Source organism: Homo sapiens, chromosome 22 (genome assembly GCF_000001405.40).
Source record: "Homo sapiens chromosome 22, GRCh38.p14 Primary Assembly".
NCBI lineage: Eukaryota > Metazoa > Chordata > Mammalia > Primates > Hominidae > Homo > Homo sapiens.
This window is the reverse complement of record NC_000022.11, coordinates 49,831,980-49,854,501: the sequence shown is the minus strand read 5'-3', so window position 1 is coordinate 49,854,501 and position 22,522 is coordinate 49,831,980. Positions and strand designations below refer to the sequence as shown.

General features: G+C 52.6%; 3 protein-coding genes and 1 long non-coding RNA gene across 8 annotated transcripts in view, besides 4 other annotated features; 2 read left to right on the top strand and 2 right to left on the bottom strand.

Moving 5' to 3' along the window:
* ZBED4 (zinc finger BED-type containing 4) overlaps window positions 1-1,652 on the bottom strand; it is a 37,231-nt gene extending 35,579 nt beyond the window's left edge. The window contains exon 1 of one of the 3 annotated variants that reach the window (XM_047441685.1): window positions 1,083-1,652. The gene's annotated coding sequence lies outside the window, so the exon portion shown is untranslated. Of the gene's footprint in view, window positions 1-11; window positions 659-1,082 lie in introns of those variants that run through there. The other 2 variants (XM_047441686.1, NM_014838.3) reach the window with 2 other exon arrangements.
* Window positions 11-300: a silencer, noted in NCBI's record as "silent region_13927". NCBI's record gives its function as "represses an Ori minimal core promoter by ATAC-STARR-seq in GM12878 lymphoblastoid cells {active_cell/tissue: GM12878}" and the evidence as "EXISTENCE:reporter gene assay evidence [ECO:0000049][PMID:35858748]".
* Window positions 471-1,200: a silencer, noted in NCBI's record as "silent region_13926". NCBI's record gives its function as "represses an Ori minimal core promoter by ATAC-STARR-seq in GM12878 lymphoblastoid cells {active_cell/tissue: GM12878}" and the evidence as "EXISTENCE:reporter gene assay evidence [ECO:0000049][PMID:35858748]".
* Window positions 990-22,053, top strand: LOC105377205 (uncharacterized). Of its 3 annotated transcripts, NR_188597.1 has the most exons (5): window positions 990-2,066; window positions 3,295-3,420; window positions 16,950-16,994; window positions 17,108-17,210; window positions 20,815-22,053. It is a non-coding gene; the product is annotated as an uncharacterized LOC105377205 (long non-coding RNA). The 3 variants fall into 3 exon arrangements; NR_188598.1 differs by lacking the exons at window positions 990-2,066; window positions 3,295-3,420 and adding an exon at window positions 15,609-15,810 and having other exon boundaries at window positions 17,111-17,210; NR_188599.1 differs by lacking the exons at window positions 990-2,066; window positions 3,295-3,420 and adding an exon at window positions 15,609-15,810.
* Window positions 1,221-1,310: a silencer, noted in NCBI's record as "silent region_13925". NCBI's record gives its function as "represses an Ori minimal core promoter by ATAC-STARR-seq in GM12878 lymphoblastoid cells {active_cell/tissue: GM12878}" and the evidence as "EXISTENCE:reporter gene assay evidence [ECO:0000049][PMID:35858748]".
* On the bottom strand, window positions 3,832-4,912 carry LOC105373091 (sterile alpha motif domain-containing protein 1-like). The gene is made up of 2 exons (XM_011530661.3): window positions 4,422-4,912; window positions 3,832-4,320 (listed from the first exon to the last, which is right to left on the bottom strand). The coding sequence occupies exons 1-2, from the start codon at window positions 4,752-4,754 to the stop codon at window positions 3,832-3,834; spliced, it is 822 nt and encodes a 273-aa protein (XP_011528963.1). The 5' UTR covers window positions 4,755-4,912.
* Window positions 4,850-9,242, top strand: LOC124905156 (basic proline-rich protein-like). Its single transcript, XM_047441701.1, has 3 exons — window positions 4,850-4,904; window positions 4,948-6,082; window positions 8,105-9,242. Exons 1-2 carry the CDS (start codon window positions 4,850-4,852, stop codon window positions 5,979-5,981), a joined length of 1,089 nt encoding a protein of 362 aa, XP_047297657.1. The 3' UTR covers window positions 5,982-6,082; window positions 8,105-9,242.
* Window positions 15,417-15,466: a silencer, noted in NCBI's record as "silent region_13924". NCBI's record gives its function as "represses an Ori minimal core promoter by ATAC-STARR-seq in GM12878 lymphoblastoid cells {active_cell/tissue: GM12878}" and the evidence as "EXISTENCE:reporter gene assay evidence [ECO:0000049][PMID:35858748]".
* Window positions 22,054-22,522: the final 469 nt, after the last annotated feature.

Genomic DNA, 22,522 nt, shown 5'->3' with positions numbered 1-22,522 from the left:
GAACCACGTACAATAACCTGCCTCGGGGCGCGTCGCAAGGACCCGTCTGGGCTGAGACATGAAGCAGGGCCCAGGTGGCCCTTCCTGGAGGTGGGACGGGAATGACACGTCCAGAGAAGTCCCAGGGACGGGGCTCGCGGGGTTAACTCGACGTGGCCGGGACAGCGCGCTCCCGGCGGACCCGGGCGGCGCCCCGAGCCCGAGCCCCGTCCCGTCCGCCCGGAAGCAACGGCGCGGGCACGTGGGCCAGGCCGGGCGCCGACCCCCGGCACTCGGCCGCTCAGTCGGCGCCGCCCCCGCGCCAGCTGTCAGGGCCGGGGTCCGCGCGGGGGCGGGTCCGGGGCGGCGCCGGGCGGGGACCCCGAGGCCACGGAACCGCGCCCCCGCCCGCCTGGCCCCGGCCCTGGCCCCGGCGCGGCGCAGACAATGGCGCGGCCCGGCCCGGCCCCGGCGCGGTCCGCGGGGGACGGGGCTCGCGGCAGGCGGCGGGGCGGCGGCGCCCGCGCACTCACCTCGGCCCGGCCTCTGGGGCGGCTCCCGGCCGGCTGCGGACGACGGCGGCGCGGGCGGACGCTCCATTCATTACCGCGGCTTTGTCTGCCCCCGCGCCCCTCCCGCGGCCCCGCCGCCCGCCGCCCGCGACGCCGCCGGACGCTGCGCCCCTCCCAGGGCCCCGCGCGGCGCGGGGCGGGGCTGGCCGGGGGCGGGGCCGATCGGGGGCGGGGCCTACTCTCGCAGGCGCAGTGTCCGCGTACCCGCCCCGCCTCGTCCCTGGCCGGGCGGGAGGACGGAGCGCCGGAGGCCCGGCCGCTGGGGCGGGGTCGGGCGGAAGACGCAGGCGCAATGCGCGCTTCGGCTCCGCCCCCGGGTCCAGGAGGGCAAACTACGCAGGCGCAGTGGGCGCTCCGGCGCTGGCGGGCGACGGGAAGGGCTTAGGCGCTCTGGCTGGGCGGGGCGCGGGCGCCTTGGTTTCGTCCCGTGGCTTGGCAGTTGGCAGCGGCTCGGCGCGCACCCAACGGCCCACCGCGGGTTTCCGGGACGGCTAGCAGCGCGGTTCCCGGTCCCGCCCCGAACCCCCTTACCTGGCGCAGAGGCCGCTCAGTGCGGTGCGGTCAGGCCTCGTGGGCTGGGACCTAAGCCGTTGACCCTAAGGCGATCGGGGCTCCCCGCGCGGCCCCCCCGGGGGACGGGATTAACGCCTAAGCCCCAAGCCGGGTCGGCGGGAGGAGGGCGGCCCTCTGGGCGAGCGCGGGGCCGGGGCTGGCGGTGCGGAGCGCACGGGACTCGCCCGCTTCTCAGGGTCTGAAGGAAATGTGCACTTTTAATGTGTTATTTCCTAACACAAATGTTTGAGCAGACCAAATAAACTCTGCATGCTGAATGTGGCCCCGAGGTCCCCCGTTGGTGACACGGCTTTCGGCATTTTCTCGGCCTGAGTGTGAGAGTGAGAGGAGCCCGCGTGGCGGTCACCGGCTGGAGCGGGAGCGTGGAGTTATCACGGCCGCCTCTGCCCGGAGCCCGCCCCTGCCCCGCGGCTGTGCCCCTTCACCCGCACGCCGACTGTTCCAAAGTCCACGTCCAGCCTGCAGCCGGGTTTTCTATGGTGCCTGAGCTAAGAATGCTTTTCTCGTTTTTAAGAGGTTGGGGGAGAATTAAAACAGTATTTTAGCATATATGAAAAGTATATGACATTCAAATATCGGCCGGGCACGGTGGCTCACGCCTGTAATCCCTGCACTTTGGGAGGCCGAGGCGGGTGGATCACCTGAGATCAGGAGTTCGAGACCAGCCTGGCCAACATGGAGAAACCCCGTCTCTACTGAAAAAAAATAAAAAATTAGCCAGACGTGGTGGTGGGCTCCTGTAATCCCAGATACTCGGGAGACTGAGGCAGAAGAATCGCTTGAACCCGGGAGGCAGAGGTTGCAGTGAGCCGAGATCGCGCCACTGCACTCCAGTCTGGGTGACAGAGCAAGACTCCGTCTCCAAAAAAAAATTAAATTAAAATGTCGGTTTCCTAAGGAGTTCAACTGGAACACCACCATGCTTGTTCATGTAGTTAAAAGGTAAACTGCTTTACCTTCCACCATAGCTATGGAGTTGAGACCAGGCACTGACACCCAAAAAGGGCTCCCTGTTTCTTTCTTTTTCTTTTTTTTTTCTTTCTGAGACAGAGTCTCGCTCTGTCCCCAGGCTGGAGTGCGGTAGCGTGATCTCGGCTCACTGCAACCTCCGCCTCCCGGGTTCAAGCGATTCTCCTGCCTCAGCCTCCAGAGTAGCTGAGACTACAGGCGCTCGCCACCACGCCCAGCTAATTTATGTATTTTTAGTAGAGATGGGGTTTCACCATGTTGACCAGGATGGTCTCGATCTCCTGATCTTGTGATCCGCCCGCCTTGGCCTCCCAAAGTGCTGGGATTACAGGCATGAGCCACCGTGCCCGGCCTGGGGATCCCTGTTTCATTCAGAGTGGAGGCCAGTGTTCTCAGGCCTGCTCTGCCCCTGCCATCCCCTCATCAGATCTGCAGCAGCCCCCAGCCTCCTTGATGCTTGCTTTGGGGTCTTCGCACTGACTTCTTGTCTGCCTGGACTGCTCTTCCCCTCTGCCAGTGTCAAGCTCCCAGACGGCTGCCCATATGTCAGCATAGTGGGAGGCTCTCCGGGGCCATGCTCTAGGAAGTAACACTGCGCTCTCCTCATCCCCTCTCCGGGCTCTGACACATCTGACACACTGTATATGCCTGTGTCATGACTGCCCCCCAACAGCCTCCTGCTAGAATCAGTGGGAGGGGGGACTTCTTTGTTGTATGTGCTGAGGGAGCATGCCCAGTGCCGAGAGCAAGGCCCCCTACGCTTTGTGGAGTAGGTTAATGGGGCCCCACAATTGCCTGGCACTCATGTGCAGAAATAGAAGATTCCTGGGGCCAAAGAGCAACAGCTCTTCCCAAAGGGGCCTGCCGGTGAGTGAGTGAGTGCAGGTTGACAGGTCCCTCCTAGTGCCTTCCAAATTGTGCAGGGCAGCCAGGTGCGGCCTATTCTCTGGCCCCTCACAGGAAGATACTGTTTTGTATGTCGGGTGGCCCTTGGACTAAGTGCCCAAATGGGGCACCCTGGAGCATGGAAGGGCACACTAGACATCATGGGGCCAGGACCCAGCATCAACTGGGACTGTTTCGGCAAGCCAGTACCCCATGCCTCCACCAGCTGCAGTCCATTCATTTAATCTTTGATGGGCACTTTCTGTGTGCCCAAGATACAATATCTTATTTTTTCTTTTTCTTTTTTTTTTTTCAGTCTGCAAGTGCTTGGTACATACACAGATGGTATTTATTTGCTGTTTGTCTTAAATTGCATTCTTATGCATCATAGAGACTGCGATAAGGAGAAGAAAAAATATTTTCTACAGGACCATCCAAACATGTAAGTGGCTTTTCATGGGACAGTTTCCCATCACGGGAAAGACATAAGTCGATTCTTAGTCATCCAGAGTGTCAGTATCTTATTTTTTCATTCATCTGAACCAAAGTGTGACATCCCAGGGCCAGGTGTTTTATCTGAGTTCCATGCACAGACTGTGAGCCCCACCTGTACAGGGCAGTGCGAGTCAGGGATGCTCCGCACTGAGGCAGAAGAGCAGCTGGTGCCCTGGTCCTCTGTCCACTGAGGCTGCAGGTGGACCCACAGCATCTTCCGAAGGCAGGGAGCCCTCCGTGCTTGGAGCACTGTGGCCCTGGAGGGTTCGCCCTCATGTGATGTGACTTTGGTTGAGTTTCTTAGCTGTGAATTAAGATTATGAGCCCAGCTTGGGGGTAGGGCATGGAGCTGATGGTGTCACATGTGGAAGCAGCTGGGTGACCCCGAGCCCGGTGACCACTGGTCACTGGGGAGGCACAGACCTCGCTGTGGCAGGGTCCTGAGGGCCAGGGCCTCAAAGGAGGGTGGCTGTGTCCCTGGGCCCCGCGGGAGTAAGGGTGTACACCTGCCAGTCCCCTGCCTACAGTGGTGGTGGGGTGGAGCCCCATGGTCCCTTCCATCTGGAATCTCAGACCTGGCCCCCCTCTGCCACCCTGTGCCTCCCGTCTGCCTTTCAGGGTAGCAAGAATGCTGTGCGCCCCACTGGGGAGGGAGGTGGGGAGGACTCCAGAGCGTCCAGGTGGGGGCTGCTGCAGAGGAGATGGTTTCTCTCGGGTGCAGAGGAGGGTTGGGCCCTGGGCACCTACTGGTCACTCTTCGCCACGACGGGGACCTCACCACGTTGTCCCTCATCCACGTCACCCGCCCAACCCACGCGGAGGGTCCTGAGGGCTTCACCACGCAGCCCTGAAGGGGCAGAGCTGGGGTCACACAGGTATCGGAAGCCCACGCTGTGGCCCCAGGAGAAGGTTCTGGATGTGGCTCCTATGAGTGAAGGGTGGACTCACAGCGCTGCCGGAATAAAGGGAAACCACAGGCAGGAGGGAAGCGCGTCCAGGATCCGCGGCCACCGGCCTCTCAGACTGTCTTCTGGGGCCAGGTCGCGAGGAGATGGAAAGCGGGGGCATCACAGGCTCGTCTGAACCCGCGCGTTCATTCGGCCACACCGACCCCAAACCCCTGCATGCGGGCAGGACCCCTGGTTCTCCTGCGCCCACCCCAGCCCTGCTGGCCGCCGGGGCATTTGAGGGATGGTTGCGGGGGGTCGGAGGGTGGAAGGGGCGTCGGGCAGCCTCGGTGGGGAGGGGAAGAGGCTTCCCGTGCACTATGGACTCCCGCATTCGGGAAGGGAGGCGCTCGGGGTTGGGGAGGGAGGAAAAGGCGGCTGTGTTCGGGGAGGGGGCAGCGAGACCCCGCCCGGGCTACGGGTTGCAGGATGGAGCGGACGGGAGGAAGGAGCCCTGACGCCGCGGACCCCACGCCTGCCGGCCGTCCCCTCCCTCCCTGCCTTCCTTCCTTCCTCCCTCTCCGCAGAGGCAGCGCGGGGACCCGGCCGGGGTGGGGCTAGGGCGGTGCGCCCCGGAGCCTCCAACCTGGACCCCACCCCGGAGGCGCCGCGACCGCGCTCCCGCCGCCTCCAGGAAGGTGCCCGGATCGCGCCGGCGACCGGAGGACTCTGCGCCCCGCCGCCTCCCACCCTGTCCCGCCCCGCGCCTGTCGGCGACCCCGCGGGGCCGGTCCCCGTCTCCACCTGCAGTCCGGGGCGCGGCGCCCTTGAGGGAAGCGGGGCTCTGGGATCCCCCGGCCTGGGCGTGGGACACCCCACGGTCCGCACGAACCTTGGTGGCCCGGGCCCCTGCTCCCCCAGAACAGCGCCCAGGTCTCGGAGAAACCCCCCGAAGCCGTGGGCCCAGACGCTCCCGGGGGACCTCGGTGGGACGGGCAGGGCGGGCGCCGCGGGCGAGGGGACGCGCACTGTCCCCGGGCGAACCAGAAACACCCCACACCGGGCACCTCCCCAGGAATCGCCCACCCACCCCCATTGTTCTCCACCAGGTTTCACCTTACCACCCTCCCCCCAGGCATCTCCCCCGTTGCATCGCCCCCACGCGGGCATCGCTCCCACCCGGGCATCTCGGCTCTGTCCTGCCCTGGGGTGGCCGCAGCCCGCGGGGAGGAAGCGCGGCGAGGCGCCCACACCGGGAAAGTGTCTCCGTGACTCTGCGAGGTTACACTCCGGGTGCGTCGCTGCGGGCTCGTGGGCTCGTGGGCTGCAGCCCCCCGCTCCTGTCGGGTGGACGAGCCCCGGGCCCGCGTGGAGCTGCTCGGTCAAGGCCGGCCCGGGAGGGGCGCGGCGCAGGGCGGGCAGGGGCGGGGTCCTAGGTCAACGTCCAGCCCCAGACCCAGCCCCGCCGCCGGATCCACCGTGCCTCTGTTTCCCCATTCCTGAGAAATCGGAACGCCGGCGGCACCCCCTTCTCCGGGCCGGAGCCTGCGCCCTCCGGATTGCGCGCCTCTGTCCAGGCGGCGGCCGGGGGTGGGAGCGCGCAGCGGGCCAACTTCCCTAAAGGGAACTGTCGGGAGGGCGCCCAGAAGGGAAAGACCAGGAAGCGCTGGGTGCTGAGCTGGAGTCTGGCCCCTTCCTGGGGGACCGGGGAGGGGGCTGAAGGTGGGGAGAAGACCGCCGGGGCTGCTAGGGGGGCACTGAGGGAGCGTCCAGGGGGAGAACTCTGGGTGGGCGACGCCGCAGGGGAGCTGCCTGGCAGGGGCGAGGGCCTCGGGGAAGTGGAGCTTCTGGCCGAGAGCTGCATCTGTGGCCGGGGAGGGAAAGGGTCACAAGGGCAGTGCGCGCCGGGAGGGAAGCTCAGGCCGGGGGGAAGGGACTGCGCGGCGGGGACAGGTGCGTCGGGTGCTGGACAGTGAGCAGGAGCCCGCCGGTGCTCAGGTCACGAAGGTGCTGGAGCCGGGGGAGCTGGAACGCAAGGGGGTTAAGGGAACGCGCTGGGAAGGGTGGGGGCGGCAGCTGCTCCAGGCTGCGGTGGCCTTGGTTCTGTCTGAGGGTCCATGGGTGGAAAGGCATTTGGAGCTTGTGTTCATAGCTGGGACTGCCAGATTTGGTGGATAAAAATACAAAATTGCGTGGGACCGGACGGGCGCGGTGGCTCACGCCTGTAATCCCAGCAGTTTGGGAGGCCGAGGTGGGCGGATTACCTGAGGTTGGGAGTTCCAGACCAGCCTAACCAACATGGTGAAACCCCGTCTCTACGAAAAATACAAAATTAGCGGAGCATGGTGGCGTGCTCCTGTAATCCCAGCTACCAGGGAGGCTGAGGCAGGAGAATCGCTCGAACCCGGGAGGCGAAGGTTGCAGTGAGTCAAGATTGGGCCATCCAGGCTGGGCGACAAAAGCGAATCTCTGTCTAAAAAAAAAAAAAAGTGCACAGCACGTACATATACTAAAAAATTATTATCTGGAATTAAAATGTAACTGATTGTACCGTATTTTATCTGCAACCCTAATCATAACAGGCATGTTGTTCTCTGTATATAGTCCAGTCAACAGCAAAAGTATGTAAAAAGGTGAAAAAACTACTTATGACACATCCCTAAAGGAATAACTTTAAGAACAATTAGGTGTATATTGCCCAGGGTTTTTGTTTTTTGTTTGTTACCTTGAGTCGGGGTCTTGCTCTGTTGTCCATGCTGGAATGCGGTGGTGTGATCACAGCTCAGTGCAGCCTCAACTTCCCAGACTCAAGCAGTCCTCCCACCTCAGCCTCCTGAGTAGCTGGGAGTACAGGCACCTGGCTAATTTTTGTATTTTTAGTAGAGACGGGGTTTCATCACGTTGCCCAGGCTGGTCTTGAACTCCTGGGCTCAAACAACCTGCCTGCCTCGGGCTCTCAAAGTCCTGGGATTACAGGCATGAGTCACTGCACCTGGCATTGCCTAGTTTTTTGTTTGTTTGTTTTTTGAGACGGAGTCTTGTTCTGTCACCCAGGCTGGAGTGCGGTGGCACAATCTCGACTCAATGCAACCTCCACCTCCCGGGTTCAAGCGATTCTCCAGCCTCAGCCTCCCGAGTAGCTGGGACTACAGGCGCATGCCACCATGCCTGGCTAATTTTTTGTGTTTTCAGTAGAGATGGGGTTTCACCGTGTTAGCCAGGCTGGTCTCGATCTCCTGACCCCATGATCCACCTGCCTCAGCCTCCCAAAGTGCTGGGATTAGAGGCGTGAGCCACAGCGCCCAGCTGGCATTGCCTAGGTTTTATATATGACCATATATTTAAAAAAGAAGGCCAACATGGTGGCTCACACCTGTACTTCCAACACTGGGAGACCGAGATGGGAAGATCACTTGAACCCAGGAGTTTGAGGCTGCAGTGTTCATGTCGGCTGTAGTGAGCCGAGATCGCACAACTGCACTCCAGCCTGGGCAAAAGAAAAGAGTACATATATATATATAATTTATTATTTTTTTTTTAGAGACAGAGTCTTGCTCTGTCACCCAGGCTGGAATGCAGTGGCTTGATGTCGGCTCACTACAGCCTGAATCTCCTAGGCTCAAGGGGTTCTCCCACCTCAGCCTCTGGAGTAGCTGGGATTACAGGCGCAAGCCACTGTGCCTGGCCTAAATGTGTGCCATCTTTATTTCAAACACTTGTTAAAATGCTGTTGTTATTCTTCAGGACAAGAGCAAAAATCACCCCCTGCAGAACCTAGGAGCTACGTGCAGAACTTTACAGAGTTGAGGCAGCGCCGTAGCTGAGGCCTGACTGCTAACCAGGGAGTGGAGCTCTGAGTGCACTCAAGGAACGCAAGGAAGCCAGGCAGGGAGGAAGGGGCCGGCGGAGTCTAACTTCAGCTGCCATCTTTTTTGGTGGCACATCTCGTGGTCACAGGTTGTAGGCTGTGTTTCTGGAAGGTTCAGGTACAGCGCAAGATTCCACTTGTCTACTTGGCTATCTCTGTGCCTGAGGTGCCATGAGGCCAACGGACGTCACTCAAATTCATGTCCAGCCAAACTCCCACAGCAAAGAATCCCGAACCGAGGATGAAGTTCCTCTAGAAAGCATTCCTATCTGTGGCAAAGCTGCAGACACCCCGAAACCCATCTCCCACCTCGTCTGGAATTTCAGGAGCTTCGTTTGCTGAGCCAGTGCACTCATGGCAACCCTGCAGGAAGCCATGTGGCACCTCTGGGCTTTGCACCGTGTGTGTTCTCTTCTCTAAACTGCTGTTTTTGCTTAGCAAAGAGCCTCGCCTGCCACTGATGATGGCAGTGTGGGGTCATTTTGAATGGCTGCCTGACACTGCATGGCACATTCACGTACACAGTCCTGTGGGATCGTGACATAATAAGAAATAGATATTTCATCTCTGCCCCTGGTTCCTGACACAGAGCTCCTAAAACCATTGAAATTTCCTGGATAATAGGAGCTTCTTCTGTTCCAATGGGGTGACTCTTGGTGGGCTCCTGGATGGGGGCTGGTCACTAGCGAGACCACACCATGATGAGAAACCTGGAGCTTCAGCCCTACCCCCACCTCTGAGCAGGGGAGACGGGCTAGCTAGAGGCGCGGTTCCTAATGCGCCATATGCCTACATGAAGACGTCTCCGTAAAAGTCCCTCAGCAGTGGGGGTTTGGAGAGCTCCCAGGTTGGTGAACACATCTCTTTGTGGGGGGCGTGGAGCACCCCAGCTCCCCAGGGCTGGCAGCTCCTGTGCTGAGAACGCTTCTGGACTTCGCCTTACGCACCCTTCATCTGACTCCTCATCCCTATCCTTTATCGTATCTTTTATAATAAACATGTTTCTCGCCAGGCGCGGTGGCTCACGCCTGTAATCCCAGCACTTCGGGAGGCTGAGGTGGGCAGATCACCTGAGGTTGGGAGTTTGAGACCAGCCTGACCAGCATGGAGAAACGCTGTCTCTACTAAAAATAAAAAATTAGCCAGGTGTGGTGGTGCATGCCTGCAATCCCAGCTACTAGCAAGGCTGAGGCAGGAGAATCGCTCGAACCCAGGAGGCAGAGGTTGTGGTAAGCTGAGATCGTGCCATTGCACCCCAGCCTGGGCGACAAGAGCGAAACTGGGCCTCAATAAACAAACAAACAAACAAACAAACAAACATGTTTCTCTGAGGTCCATAAGCCATTCTATTCGTAGCAAAGTATCCAACCCAAAGAAGGGATTGTAGGAACTCCTGAATCACACTTGCTTGATCAGAAGTACCAGCGACCCAGACCTTCCACTGGCACCTGAAGTGGGGGCAGGCTGTGGGACGGAGCCCCTAACCTGTGGGATCCGCCTCAAACTGGAGGTGGAGAGTGTCAGAGTGAATTGCTGGACTCGCAGTTGGTGTCCAGGGGCTAGGAGAAGTGGCTGATGTGGGAACCCTCTGCCCCCATTTGGTGTCGGAGGCAGAGTGTTCTATGTGACAGAGGAGAGGAAAACAGTTTTTTTTCCTTTCAGCAAGGATCTGAAGTGTGTCCCTTTCCCTATCAAAAACAGTTCCCAGGGGAGCATGATCATTTTTGTTCCTTTGCAGATCCTCTAGGTATTTTCTTAGAAAACATTCCTGGCAGGAAACTTTAAATATTTATTTATTTTAAGTTTTAAAATCTTTATTTTTTTTGAGACAGGGTTTTGCCCTGTCCCCCAGGTTGGAGTGCAGTGGCACCATCCTAGCTCAATGCAGCCTTGAACTCCTGGGCTCAAGTGATCCTCTCTCCTTGGCCTCCTAAATGGCTGGGATTACGAGTTTGAGCTGCAGTGCTTGGCTGCAGTGCAAAATTGTATTGAAATAATTGTAGATTTACATGCCATTGTAAGAAATAATAGCATAGAGAGATCTCTTGTATGGTTTGCTCAGTGTTTCCCAAGGGTACCATTTTACAAAACTAGAGTGGAACGTCACAGCCAGGGTATGGATGTCAATACGACCCACGGATCTTATTCAGAGTACCTCAGTTCTACGTCTACTCATTTTTATGTGTATATTAAATTCTGCATGATTTTATCAGCAGGCAAGGCTTGCACACCCACAGTCATGATGCTGAAGGGCTCCAGTACCACAGGATTGCTCATGTCGTCCATCTATAGTCACACCCGCCTCCCTCCTGTCCCCAGCCTGACATGAATCTCTGGCAAACACAAATCTGTTCTTTTCTAAAACTGTGTCATTTAAAAATCACATAGTAGGCTGAGTGCAGTGGCTCATGCCTGTAATCCCAGCACTTTGGGAGGCCGAGGCGGGTGGATCACCTGAGGTCAGGAGTTCGTGACCAGCCTGGCCAACATGGTGAAACCCCATCTCTACTAAAAATACAAAAAATTAGCCGGGCGTGGTGGTGGGCGCCTGTAATTCCAGCTACTTGGGAGGCTGAGGCAGGAGAATTGCTTGAACCCGGGAGGCGGAGGTTGCAATGAGCCGACTTTACGCCATTGCACTCCAGCCTGGTCAACGAGCAAAACTCTGTCTCAAAAAATAAAAAATAAAAAATAAAAAAATCGCATAGTAAGTAGCATTTTTGGATCGGCTATTTTTGCTCAGCATAATTCCTTGGCGATGCTTCATCCCAGTTGCATGTACCAACGGCCTGCTCCTTTTCCCTGCTGAGTAGAGCTGCGTGGAATGGGAGTACTATGGTGTGTTTAGCCATTCACTGCTGAAGGACATCTGGGCTGATACCAGTTTTGGTCTGTTACAAATATAGCTGCTATGAACACTCGTGTACAAGTTTTGGTGTGAACAAAAGTCTTTATTTTTTGGGCACGGTGGTTCACGTCTGTAATCTCAGCACTGTGGGAGGCCGAGGTGGGCAGATCATGAAGTCAGGAGTTTGAGACCAGCCTGGCCAACATGGTGAAACCCCATCTCTACTAAAAATACAAAAAAATTAGCCGGGTGTGGTGGTGGGCACCTGTAATCCCAGCTACTCCAGAGGCCGAGCCAGAAGAGTCGCCGAAATCCAGGAGGCAGAGGTTGCAGTGAGCTGAGCTCGCACCACTGCACTCCAGCCTGGGCAACAAGAGCGAAACTCCATCTCAAAAAAAAAAAAAAGTCTTTTTTTCTCGGGGATGAATGCCCAGAAGCACAACTGCTGGGTCCCATGGTAGTCAGATGGTTAGTTTTTGAAGAAACTGCCAAGCTGTTTTCCAGAATGGCTGTACCATGTTACATTCCCACCAGCAATGCATGAATGGCCCAGCTTCTCCAGGTCTTTGCCAGTGTTTGGTGGTGTTACTGCTTTTCATATGAGTCATTTGAATAGGTGTGATGTCTTGTTGCACTTTTAGTTTGCACCTCCATAATGGCTAAGGATGATGGACATCATGGTGTGTGTTTATTCTGTATATTCCCTTCATGGAAATGTCTCTTCATATCTTTTGCTGACTTTTCTATTGGATTGCTTATTTTTATTTCTTACTGTTGAGTTTTGAGAGCTTTTCTATATTCTACACGCCAGTCCTTTGTCAGACAGGGGGTGTGCAAATGCTTTTTCTCAGGCTGTAGCTTGTCTTTTCATCCTCTGAACAGGGTCTTTCACAGAGCAAAAGTTTTTAGTTTTAATGAGGTTCCCTTTATCAATATTTTATTTTATGGCTCACGCTTTTGGTATCAAACCTAAGAACTTTTTGCCTAGCCCAAGATCCCAAAGATTTTCTCCTATGTTTTTCCTAAAAGTTTTATAGTTTCACGTTTTAGATCTATGGTCAATTTTGGGTGTTTTTGTTTTCTTTCTTTTTTTTTTTGAGATAGAGTCATGTTCCATCGCCCAGGCTGGAGTGCAGTGGCGCGATCTCGGCCCACTGCAACCTCCGCCTCCTGGGATCAAGCAATTCTCCTGCCTCAGCCTCCTGAATAGCTGAGATTACAGGCACCTGCCACCATGCCTGGCTCATTTTTGTATTTTTAGTAGAGATGGGGTTTCACCATGTTGGCCAGGCTGGTCTTGAACTCCTGACCTCAAGTGATCCGCCCACCTCAGCCTCCCAAAGTGCTGGGATTACAGGTCTGAGCCACCATACTTGGGAAACTGGCACTTTTTCTATTTGAGCTTTCCAATCTGTGAAGATGGTTTATCTCTCCACTTATTTGGATCTTTGATTACTTTCATCAGCATTTCATAGTTTTTAGCATGTTCTATACATGTTTTCTTAAATTTACACCTAGCTGGCCGGGCGCGGTGGCTCATGCCTATAATCCTAGCACTCTGGGAGGCTGAGGTGGGTGGATCATTTGAGGTCAAGAGTTCAAGATCAGCCTGGCCAACATGGTGAAACCCCATCTCTACTAAAAATACAAAAATGAGCCAGGTGAGATATTGGGCACCTGTAATCCCAGCTACTCGGGAGGCTGAGGCAGGAGAATCTCTTCAACCCGGGAGGCGGAGGTTGCGGTGAGCAGAGATCGGGCCATTGCACTCCAGCCTGGGTGATAGAGTGAGACTCTGTCTCAAAAAAGAAGAAGAACAGGTAAAGGAAATTCTCCGAACAGAAAAGAAAAGACAACAGGCGGGGCGTGGTGGCTCACACCTGTAATCCCAGCACTTTGGGAGGCCGAGGTGGGTGGATCACCTGAGGTCAGGAGTTCAAGACCAGCCTTGGGCAACATGGCGAAACCTTGTCTCTACTAAAATACAAAAAATTAGCCGGGCATGGTGGCGTGCGTGTGCTTTTAATCCCAGGTACTTGGGAGGCTGAGGCAGGGAGAATTGTTTGAACCTGGGAGGTGGAGGGAGGTTGCAGTGATCTGAGATTGCACCATTGTACTCCAGCCTGGGCAACAGAGCGAGACTCTGTCTCCAAAAAAAAAAAAAAGAAATGACAACAAACGAATGTTCAGGGAGGAAAGAAGATGGTAGAATGAGTAAGCACCGGTAAAGACACTAGGTTGGCCTTCTCATAAGTTTTTAAAATCATATTGGATGGTTGAAGCAAAATTATAACACTGTCTGATGTGGCACTAAGTATATATAGAAAATAGACAATTCCATTATTTTTTAATTTATTTTTATGTTTATCATTATTCTTTTATTTATTTATTTTTGAGATGGAATCTCGCTGTGTCGCCCAGGCTGGAGTGCAATGGCTTGATCTCAGCTCACTGCAACCTCGCCTCCTAGGTTCAAGCAATTCTCCTGCCTCAGCCTCCCGGGTAGCTGGGATTACAGGCGCCCACCACCACACCTGGCTAATTTTTGTATTTTTAGTAGGGATGGGGTTTCACCATGTTGGCCAGGCTGGTCTCGAACTCCTGGTCTCATGTGATCCGCCTACCTCGGCCTCCCAAAGTGCTGGTATGAAGGCGTGAGCCACAGCGCCCAGCCCCCCTTTAGCTGTTCTTTAAGGGTAGTTCTGCTAGTGAGAAATTCTTTTCATGTGCCTTGGTCTGTGAATTTTTTTTATTTCTCTTTGTTCCCGAAGGACATTTTCACTCCACATAGAATCCGTGGCTGATAGTTCTTTCGGCACGTGAGAAACACCAGACCACTTGTTTCTGGCCTCGGTGGTTTCCAATACAAAGCTATGTTCTTCCCCATAGGCAATGTGTTGTTTCTCTGCCAGCTTTCAAGGGTTTTTTCTTTGTCATTAGTTCCCAGAAGTTTAATCACGATGTGTGCGGCATAGATTTCTTTGGATTTCTCTTATTTGGGTTTTCTGAGTTTCTTGACTTTAGAGGTTTATGTCTTTGGCCAAATTTGGGAAGATTTTGTTGTTCATTCTTCACATATTTTTTTCAGCTCCATGCTCTTTCTCCTCTCCATCTTAAACATCAATGACACAAAATTTAGATTTTTATTTATTTATTTATTTTCGAGACAGAGTCTTGCTCTGTCACCTAGACTGGAGTGCAGTGGTGCAATCTCGGCTCACTGCAACCTCTGCCTCCTGGGTTCAAGTGAGTCTCCTGCCTCAGCCTCCCAAGTAGTTGGGATTACAGGCGCCTGCCACCATGCCTGGCTAATTTTTGTATTTTTAGTAGAGATGGGGTTTTGCCATGTTGATCAGGCTGGTCTCGAACTCCTGACCTCAGGTGATCTGCCCACCTTGGCCTCCCAGAGTGCTGGGATTAGAGGCAAGAGCCACTGTGCCCAGCTAATTTTTGTATTTTTAGTAGAGACAGGGTTTCACCATGTTGGCCAGGCTGGTCTCCAACTCCTGACCTCGGGTGATCTGCCCTCCTCAGCTTCCCAAAGTGCTGGGATTATAGGTGTGAGCCACCACGCCTGGCCTAGATTTTTAAAAATAGTCCCACAGGTCCCTGAGGCTATGTTCCATCAGTTTTTTTCAGTCTATTTTCCATCTTTTTTTCAGATTGGGTTACTTCTATTGTTCTGTCTTCCAGCTCATGGATTCTTTCCTCTGTCATATTCATGCTGCTATTGAGCCCATTCAGTGAGTTTTTTAGTTTGGTTTATTGTACTTTTCGACACTACAATTTCCATCTGGTTCTTTTTTCTTTTCTTTTCTTTCTTTATTTCTGAGACAGAGTCTCTCTCTGTTACCCAGGCTGGGGTACAGCGGTGCGATCATGACTCACTGCAGCCTCAGCCTCCCAGGCTCAAGCGATTCTGTTGCCTCAGCCGCCTACCCTCATTCCCCACACCCCGATTTCATTAAAAAAAAAAAACCAAAAACTTTTTTTCTCTATTTTTCAGTTGTTTCAAGATAGTTTGTAAATGCTTGTTGAAGCATTTTTGTGAGGGCTGCTTTACAATCATTTTCGGATAATCCGATACCTGATTTATCTCGGTGTTGGCATCGTTATTTGTCTTTTCTTAGTCAAGTTATGAGTCTCCCGGCTCCTGGTGTGATGCATGATTGTGGAATCGTCATCTGGACAGTTTGTATATCAGCAGCAGACTCTGAATCCTACTTAAACCTGCTATTTCAGCAGGCAGTCACCCTGTTGAGGTGCAGCACATCCTGGCCTACTTTTGTGGGTTGTGGTTCCTACAAGAATTGAGTTTATCTACTAGATCTGCTATTTAGGCGTCTACGTAATTAGGCTGCTGCTGCCGGTGGGGATAGAGGCGCCTCTCCAGGCTTCTCCGAGCTGTTAGGTGGGGAGTGGGCGGACCTGGTGCCAGCAAGTTCCGGCTCCGCCTCTGCAGATTCCCCTATGGGAGGGCTGTGGGGCTTCCCCCAGCTACTGGGGAGGCGTGGGGAGAGGCGAGGGGAGGAGAGGAGGCCCTAGGCCTGGACCCCCTTGCACCACTTTGGGTCAGGAGATACTGGGCCTGGACTGCCTTCCACTGCCGGGCGGGGATGGGAGGCTCCAGGCGGCCGCGCTTTTTCCAGTCCGCGGTCCCCACCGGCCGGTTCCCCTCTTCCCCCCACTTCGAGGCCTGCAATTGTCTGCTGTACTGGCTCCCAGTGCTGAAAGGTGTGTGTAGCTGGAGGAGCACGGAGAGATGAGTCCGTTCCATCTCCTCTTGAGCTAGAAGTCTCTGGTTTTACTTTTAATTTTTATTTCTGTACTTTTTTTTTTTTTTTTGAGATGGCGTCTCGCTCTGTCGCCCAGGCTGGAGGGCAGTGGCGCGATCTCGGCTCACTGCAAGCTCCGCCTCCCGCGTTCACGCCATTCTCCTGCCTCAGCTTCCCGAGTAGCTGGGACTACAGGCGCCCGCCACCACGCCCGGCTAATTTTTTTCTATTTTTTTTTTAGTAGAGACGGGGTTTCACCGTGTTAGCCAGGATGGTCTCGATCTCCTGACCTCGTGATCCGCCCGCCTCGGCCTCCCAAAGTGCTGGGATTACAGGCGTGAGCCACCGCGCCCGGCCTATTTATGTAATTATTTATTCTATGGATTTTAAAATAGCCTCATTGATAAAGAATTCACAGACATACCATGCAGTTTACTGTATACTTAAAATGGACAGGCCAGGTGCAGTGGCCCCTGCCTATAATCTCAGCACTTTGGGAGGCTGAGGAGAGCGAAGTGCTTGAGTCCAGGAGTTTGAGACCAGCCTGGGCAACAAAGCGAGACCCTGTCTCTACAAAAAAATTAAAAAAAAAAAAAAAAAAACAACTTAGCCGGGTGTGGTGGTGCGCATCCTTAGTCCCAGCTACTCAGGAGGCTGATATGGGAGGATCCCTTGAGCCCAGGAGTTCAAGGTTGCAGTGAGCTGTGATTACAGCAGCTGTGATTTACTCCAGCCTGGGTACCAGAGCAAGTCCCCGTCTCAAAAACAAGTTCAATGAAATGTTTCTAGTGTATTCACAGGGCTGTGCGGTCCTAACCATAGTCAGTTTTAGAACCTGTTCATCATCCCCAAAAGAAACCTCATACCCGTTAGCACTCACTCCGTTTCCCCTCCCTGAGACCCCGGCAACCTATTTGCTTATTCTGGGCATTTCATGTAAACGGAATCATTACAATATGTGATCTTTTGTGGCTGCGTCATGTTTTCAAGGGTTCTTCATGATGCAGCACATGTCAATACTTGGTTTTTACTGCCAAATTATATGCCATCTATGTATATGCCAGATTTATCCATTCATGACCTGTTTTCACTTTTCAGCTATTATGAGAAATACCACTGCGATGAGTCTTCACATACAAGTGTGTATGTGGACACATATTTTCATTTCTTGGGGATATGCCTCAGAGTGGACTTGCTGGGACCTATGGACGCTCTGTGTTCAGCATTTTGAAGCATTGCCCGACCGTTTTCTAAAGCAGGTGCACCATTTGACGGTCCCACCAGCAGCATGAGAGAGTTCCAGTGTCTCCACATCCTCGTCAACACTCACTACCTGACTTTTTGGGTCTAGCTCTCCAGGTGGGTGTGCAGTAGGATGTCATTGTGGTTTTGATTGGCAGTTCCCTGAGAGCTAATGATGATCATCTTTCGATGTGCTTATTGGCTATTTGTAGTTGTCTATTCAAGTCCTTTGTCCATTTTAAAATCAGGTTCTAGCTGAGCGCAGTGGCTCACACCTGTAATACTAGCACTTTGGGAGGCCGAGACGGGCGGATCATCTGAGGTCAGAGGTTCGAGATCAGCCTGGCCAACATGGCGAAACCCCGTCTCTACTAAAAATACAGAAATTAGCCAGGCGTGATGGTGTGCGCCTGTAATCCCAGCTACTTGGGAGGCTGAGGCAGGAGAAACACTTGAAGCCAGGAGGCAGAGGTTGCAGTGAGCCAAGATCGCGCCGCAGCACTCCAGCCTGGGCGACAGAGTGAGACTCCGTCTCAAAAAAAAAAAAAAATCAGGTTCTGTGTTTTTTGTTGTGGAGTTGAGGACTGTGGCTTTTATTCCCAGGGAGATGGGAAGCCAGTGGAAGGTGTTAAACGCAGGAGATGCTGTCACTTGGGCTGCTGTAGAGAGGAAGAGGCAGAGGGGTACAAGGGTGAAGCAGAGAGGTGGGTCAGGCTACTGGGATAATCCAGGTGAGAGGTGTTGAGGGAACAGAGGAGGCGGTGACACAGGGCTGGCTCTGGACTTATTTTGAAAGGGGAGCCGACAGGCTTTGCCAGCGGGTCAGACATGAGCAGTGCAGGAGTGCCTCTCACCTAGGAAGCCCGGAGTTGCCTTAGCTGAGAAAGTGGATTCATGTCCTATGGCTGCTATGACAAAGCGCCACAGCCTGGGGGGCTGAGAATGGCAGCAACTCACTCTCCCACAGCTCTGGAGGTCGGAAGCCCGAAGTCCAGGCATCAGCAGGACTGTGTTCCCTCTGAAACCCATAAAGAGGGGTCTTTCCTGCCTCTTTCGGCTTCTGGTGGCCGTCAATACTTTGCATTCCTTGGCTTGTGGCCACATTACTCTGCTCTGTCTCCATTGTCACATAGCTGTCTTTGCTCTGTGTGTCTGTGTCCCAATTTCTCTTCTTATAAGAATACCAGGTGCTTGCTTCAGCAGCACATACACTAAAATTGGAATGATACAGAGAAGGTTAGCAGATTGTGTAATTTAGAAAGGGATACCAGTCATTAGATTAGGGCCCAACTCAATGACCTCATCCTAACTTAATTATTATTATTATTATTATTTATTCTTTTTTTTCTTATGTCTTTTTTGTTGTTTTTTTTTTTGAGATGGAGTCTTGCTCTGTCGCCCAGGCTGGAGTGCAGTGGCACGATCTCAGCTCACTGCAAGCTCCACCTCCTGGGTTCACGCCATTCTCCTGCCTAAGCCTCCCAAGTATCTGGGACTACAGGCACCCATCACCACGCCTGGCTATATTTGTGTATTTTTAGTACAGACAGGTTTTCACCGTGTTAGCCAGGATGGTCTCCATCTGCTGACCTCGTGATCTGCCTGCCTTGGCCTCCCAAAGTGCTGGGATTACAGGCTTGAGCCACTACACCCGGCCTATTATTTATTCTTATTTATTTATTTATTTTTTGCCACTACACCCGGCCTATTATTTATTCTTATTTATTTATTTATTTTTTGAGATGGAGTCTTACTCTATTGCCCAGGCTGGAGTGCAGTGGCGCAATCTCTGCTCATTGCAACCTCCGCCTCCCAGGTTCAAGTGATACCCCTGCCTCAGCCTTGTGAGTAGCTAGGACTACAGGCATGCGCCACCATGCCCAGCTAATTTTTGTATTTTTAGTAGAGTCGGGGTTTCACCACGTTGGTCAGGCTGGTCTCAAACTCCTGACCTCAGGTGATCCGCCCGCCTCAGCCTCCCAAAGTGCTGGGATTACAGGCGTGAGCCACTGCACCTGGCCTCATCCTAACTTTATATCTGCAAAGACCCTATTTCCAAATTAGCTCATATTCCCAGGTACTGTGCTTAGGACTTCACCATACCTTTTGCAGGGGGGACACAATTCAACCCATAACCGAGGAAGGAGACAGCAGAGAAGTTTGGGGATGAAGACCAAAAGCTGAGTGCCAGATACGTTGAGTTCGAGATGCCTACAGGACATCCTGGAGGAGAGGCTGAGAAGGCAGCTAGATGTTGGAGCTGTCAAAGCATACTTTTTAAAAAGTTAGAAACAGGGCCAGGCGCGGTGGCTCACGCGTGTAATCCCAGCACTTTGGCAGGCCGAGGTGGGCGGATCACGAGGTCAGGAGATCGAGACCATCCTGGCTAACATGGTGAAACCCCTTCTCTACTAAAAATACAAAAAAAAAAAAAAAAATTAGCCGGGCGTGGTGGTGGGTGCCTGTAGTCCCAGCTACTTGGGAGGCTGAGGCAGGAGAATGGCATGAACCTGGGAGGTGGAGTTTGCTGTGAGCTGAGATCGCGCCACTGCACTCCAGCCTGGGTGACAGAGCGAGACTCCGTCTTAAAAAAAAAAAAAGTTAAAAACATGACTCATACAACTCTAAAGTGAAGACGTGTCAAAGATTTATTTTAATCATTAATGAGGAAACCAGCATGATGGTGAGGCTGGTTCAAAAGATTGGAGAGAAGGAAGTATTTGTAGTGACTTAAAAAAGTTTGAGTAATTCTGCTTATTTAGATTTTTAAAAAAACTGGTTAATGTTCTACAGGGCCATAAACCGCAACCTTTTCTTTTTTTCTTTTCTTTTTTTTTTGAGATGGAGTCTTGTTCTGTCGCCCGGGCTGGAGTGCAATAGCTTGATCTCAGCTCACTGCAACCTCCGCCTCCCAGGTTCAAGCAATTCTCCTGCCTCAGCCTCCTGAGTAGCTGGGATTACAGGCGCCCACCACCACGCCCGGCTGATTTTTGTATTTTTAGTAGAGACAAGGGTTCACCATGTTGGCCAGGCTGGTCTCGAACTCCTGACCTCAGGTGATCCTCCCACCTTGGCCTCCCAAAGTGCTGGGATTACAGGCGTGAGCCACTGCGCCCAGTCAAACTGCAACCTTTTTTACTGTAATCTTTTCCACTGGACAGAAATAATTTCTATCACTCACTACTGGGCAAAATTTATTTGCATTGCTGTCAGAGAGGAATAATTTTACTTAGCCATCTATCTTCAACAAATTAAAGTCTACCCTTGCTGAGTTGTAAAATATCGTAATCAATAGTATATAGCAAGTTAAGCAGGCGCACACTCCAGAGGATCCGAAAATCTGCCTGGCAGGCTTGCTCAGGAACATAGCCTGCCACTGAATGGACACACTCATTTTGGGGTGTCTAATCCTTAATCTGGGACATTTTTATTAGCTCCCTCTTGGGATGATAAATAATCTCCGAAGGTTATTCTTGACCACAGAAAGCTAGTCTTGCATTCTGACCTAATTCATCTACACAGGTGCTGCAAGAAGTGGTAATTACCACGCACGAGTGTCCTTGTTAGGTGACACATGTAAACCAGATGGCGTTATGCAATGACCAAGCCGGAAAATCAACTTCTGTCTGGACGTGTCATCATAAGGAATGTAGGACTGAGCCTACATCACACCTGAGATTTTTTGTTTTTTAATTTCTCTTATTTGCTCTTCTGTTCCTAGGCCAGGAAGCCGAACCAAATCCACCTCCCTCAGGTGTGCCCGCGGGACCTGTGTGTGTGCAAGTTTCTATCTTCCAGAAGGTTCCAGTGTCTGCCATGGCTCTTGGCCTGCCAGGAAGTATCCTTCTTACTACTTGTGAGGCTGAGGCTTTGTGTGCCAGAGTACAGGTGCCCGGCCAGTATGGGTCTGAGGGTTGTGTGGGCATTGGTTCAGCACACAAGCCACAACCCTTGTTCCTTAAAGGTGGGCGTGTTGTGGAAGCACAGGAAAGTTATTCTCAAATATGACACCCATGTAAGGCCTGGGCTCCACTATTAATTTGTCTGATTATATCCTGGTGACAAGGAGGACAAATTTCTACTGCAACAATGCAAATTACTACGTTTTTATTAAAAGTAAATGTCAGTAAAACTATTTTTCCTGAATTCTGAAGTGAGAAAAACACCATTTAAAGAACGTTTTAATGTTTGTGAAAGGATAGTCTCCTAAAGTAGATTGTTGCAGATACCGGGTAAAAATAAAAATTAAATAAATTAAAGGTGAGATAGATCAAAGAAGAAGGGTTTTGTCTTATTCCTGCCAGAAACAGAATATCAGAAACAACATGAGCATCCTCCTCCTTGCCTTTTCTTGGGCTGTGCTTTCAGCCTGCAGATATAACCATTCTGGAGAGCAGTGATGCCCCCAGAACCGCATTTTTGGCTGGTGCAAAATGGGGGGCAGTGGTTGTGTCTGGGGCCAAGTTTCTGTCCTGTATAGCCTAGAGATGGTTATGTAGCGGGGGACTGAGCTACTAAGTGAAGGCATAGATAGTTATGTAGAAACAGAGGAGGGTAGAATCAACTCCATGCTAGATTGTAACTGGAGGTACAGGTATCAGTATGAACTCAAGGTTTGCTAAGAGGTATCAGAAAAGATATGGGTGTGTGTGTGTGTGTGTGTGTGTGTGTGTGTGTGTGTGTGTGTGTGTTTGTACATACTTATTTCCTAGCTCTGTCTGCTGAGTGTAAATGGAATCATATTCTGTAATCTTTTGAGATTTCTTTCTTCCATTTAAAATTATGTGTTTGAGATTTGGCCGTGTTGGTGGTGGAATTCATTCATTTCTGTTGCTGTGTGCTATTCCATTGCGTGGATACACCTCACTTTGTCCATTTTACCGTCCTTTGATATTTAAGATTTCTCCCAGTATTTGCTATTAAAAACAGCGTTAAAATAAAAAAAAAAAAACACCAAAAACAGTGTTGCTCTGAACATTCATGCACATGCTTCCTGATGAACAAGTTTCTTTTTTTCTTTTCTTTTTTTTTTTTTTTTTTTAGATGGAGTCTTGCTCTGTTGCCCAGGCTGGAGTGCAGTGGCGCAATCTCTGCTCACTGCAAACTCTGCCTCCTGGGTTCACACCATTCTCCTGCCTCAGCCTCCTGGCTAATTTTTTGTATTTTTAGTAGAGATGGGGTTTCACCGTGTTAGCCAGGATGGTCTCAATCTCCTGACCTCATGATCTGCCTGCCTCAGCCTCCCAAACTGCTGGGATTACAGGCGTGAGCCACGGCGCCCGGCCCTGATGAACAGGTTTCTTAGGCACACACCCAGGCACGGAATGCACCTAGGAATACAAATTGACTTAACCCTACAGCCGGGAATGGGTATGCACACTGGGGGAGCTTGCATCTTCTCAAAGTGGCCACAACAACTTCTCCCATAC

Bases quoted from the DNA above. Each gene is read 5' to 3' on its own strand.
- LOC124905156 (XM_047441701.1), top strand. From the start codon at position 4,850: ATGGAGCGGACGGGAGGAAGGAGCCCTGACGCCGCGGACCCCACGCCT. The intron at 4,905-4,947 runs GTCCCCTCCCTC...CCCTCTCCGCAG, and splicing joins GGACCCCACGCCTGCCGGCC to AGGCAGCGCGGGGACCCGGC.
- LOC105373091 (XM_011530661.3), bottom strand. From the start codon at position 4,754: ATGCGGGAGTCCATAGTGCACGGGAAGCCTCTTCCCCTCCCCACCGAG. The intron at 4,321-4,421 runs GTGAGTCCACCC...CTGCCCCTTCAG, and splicing joins CCCTTTATTCCGGCAGCGCT to GGCTGCGTGGTGAAGCCCTC.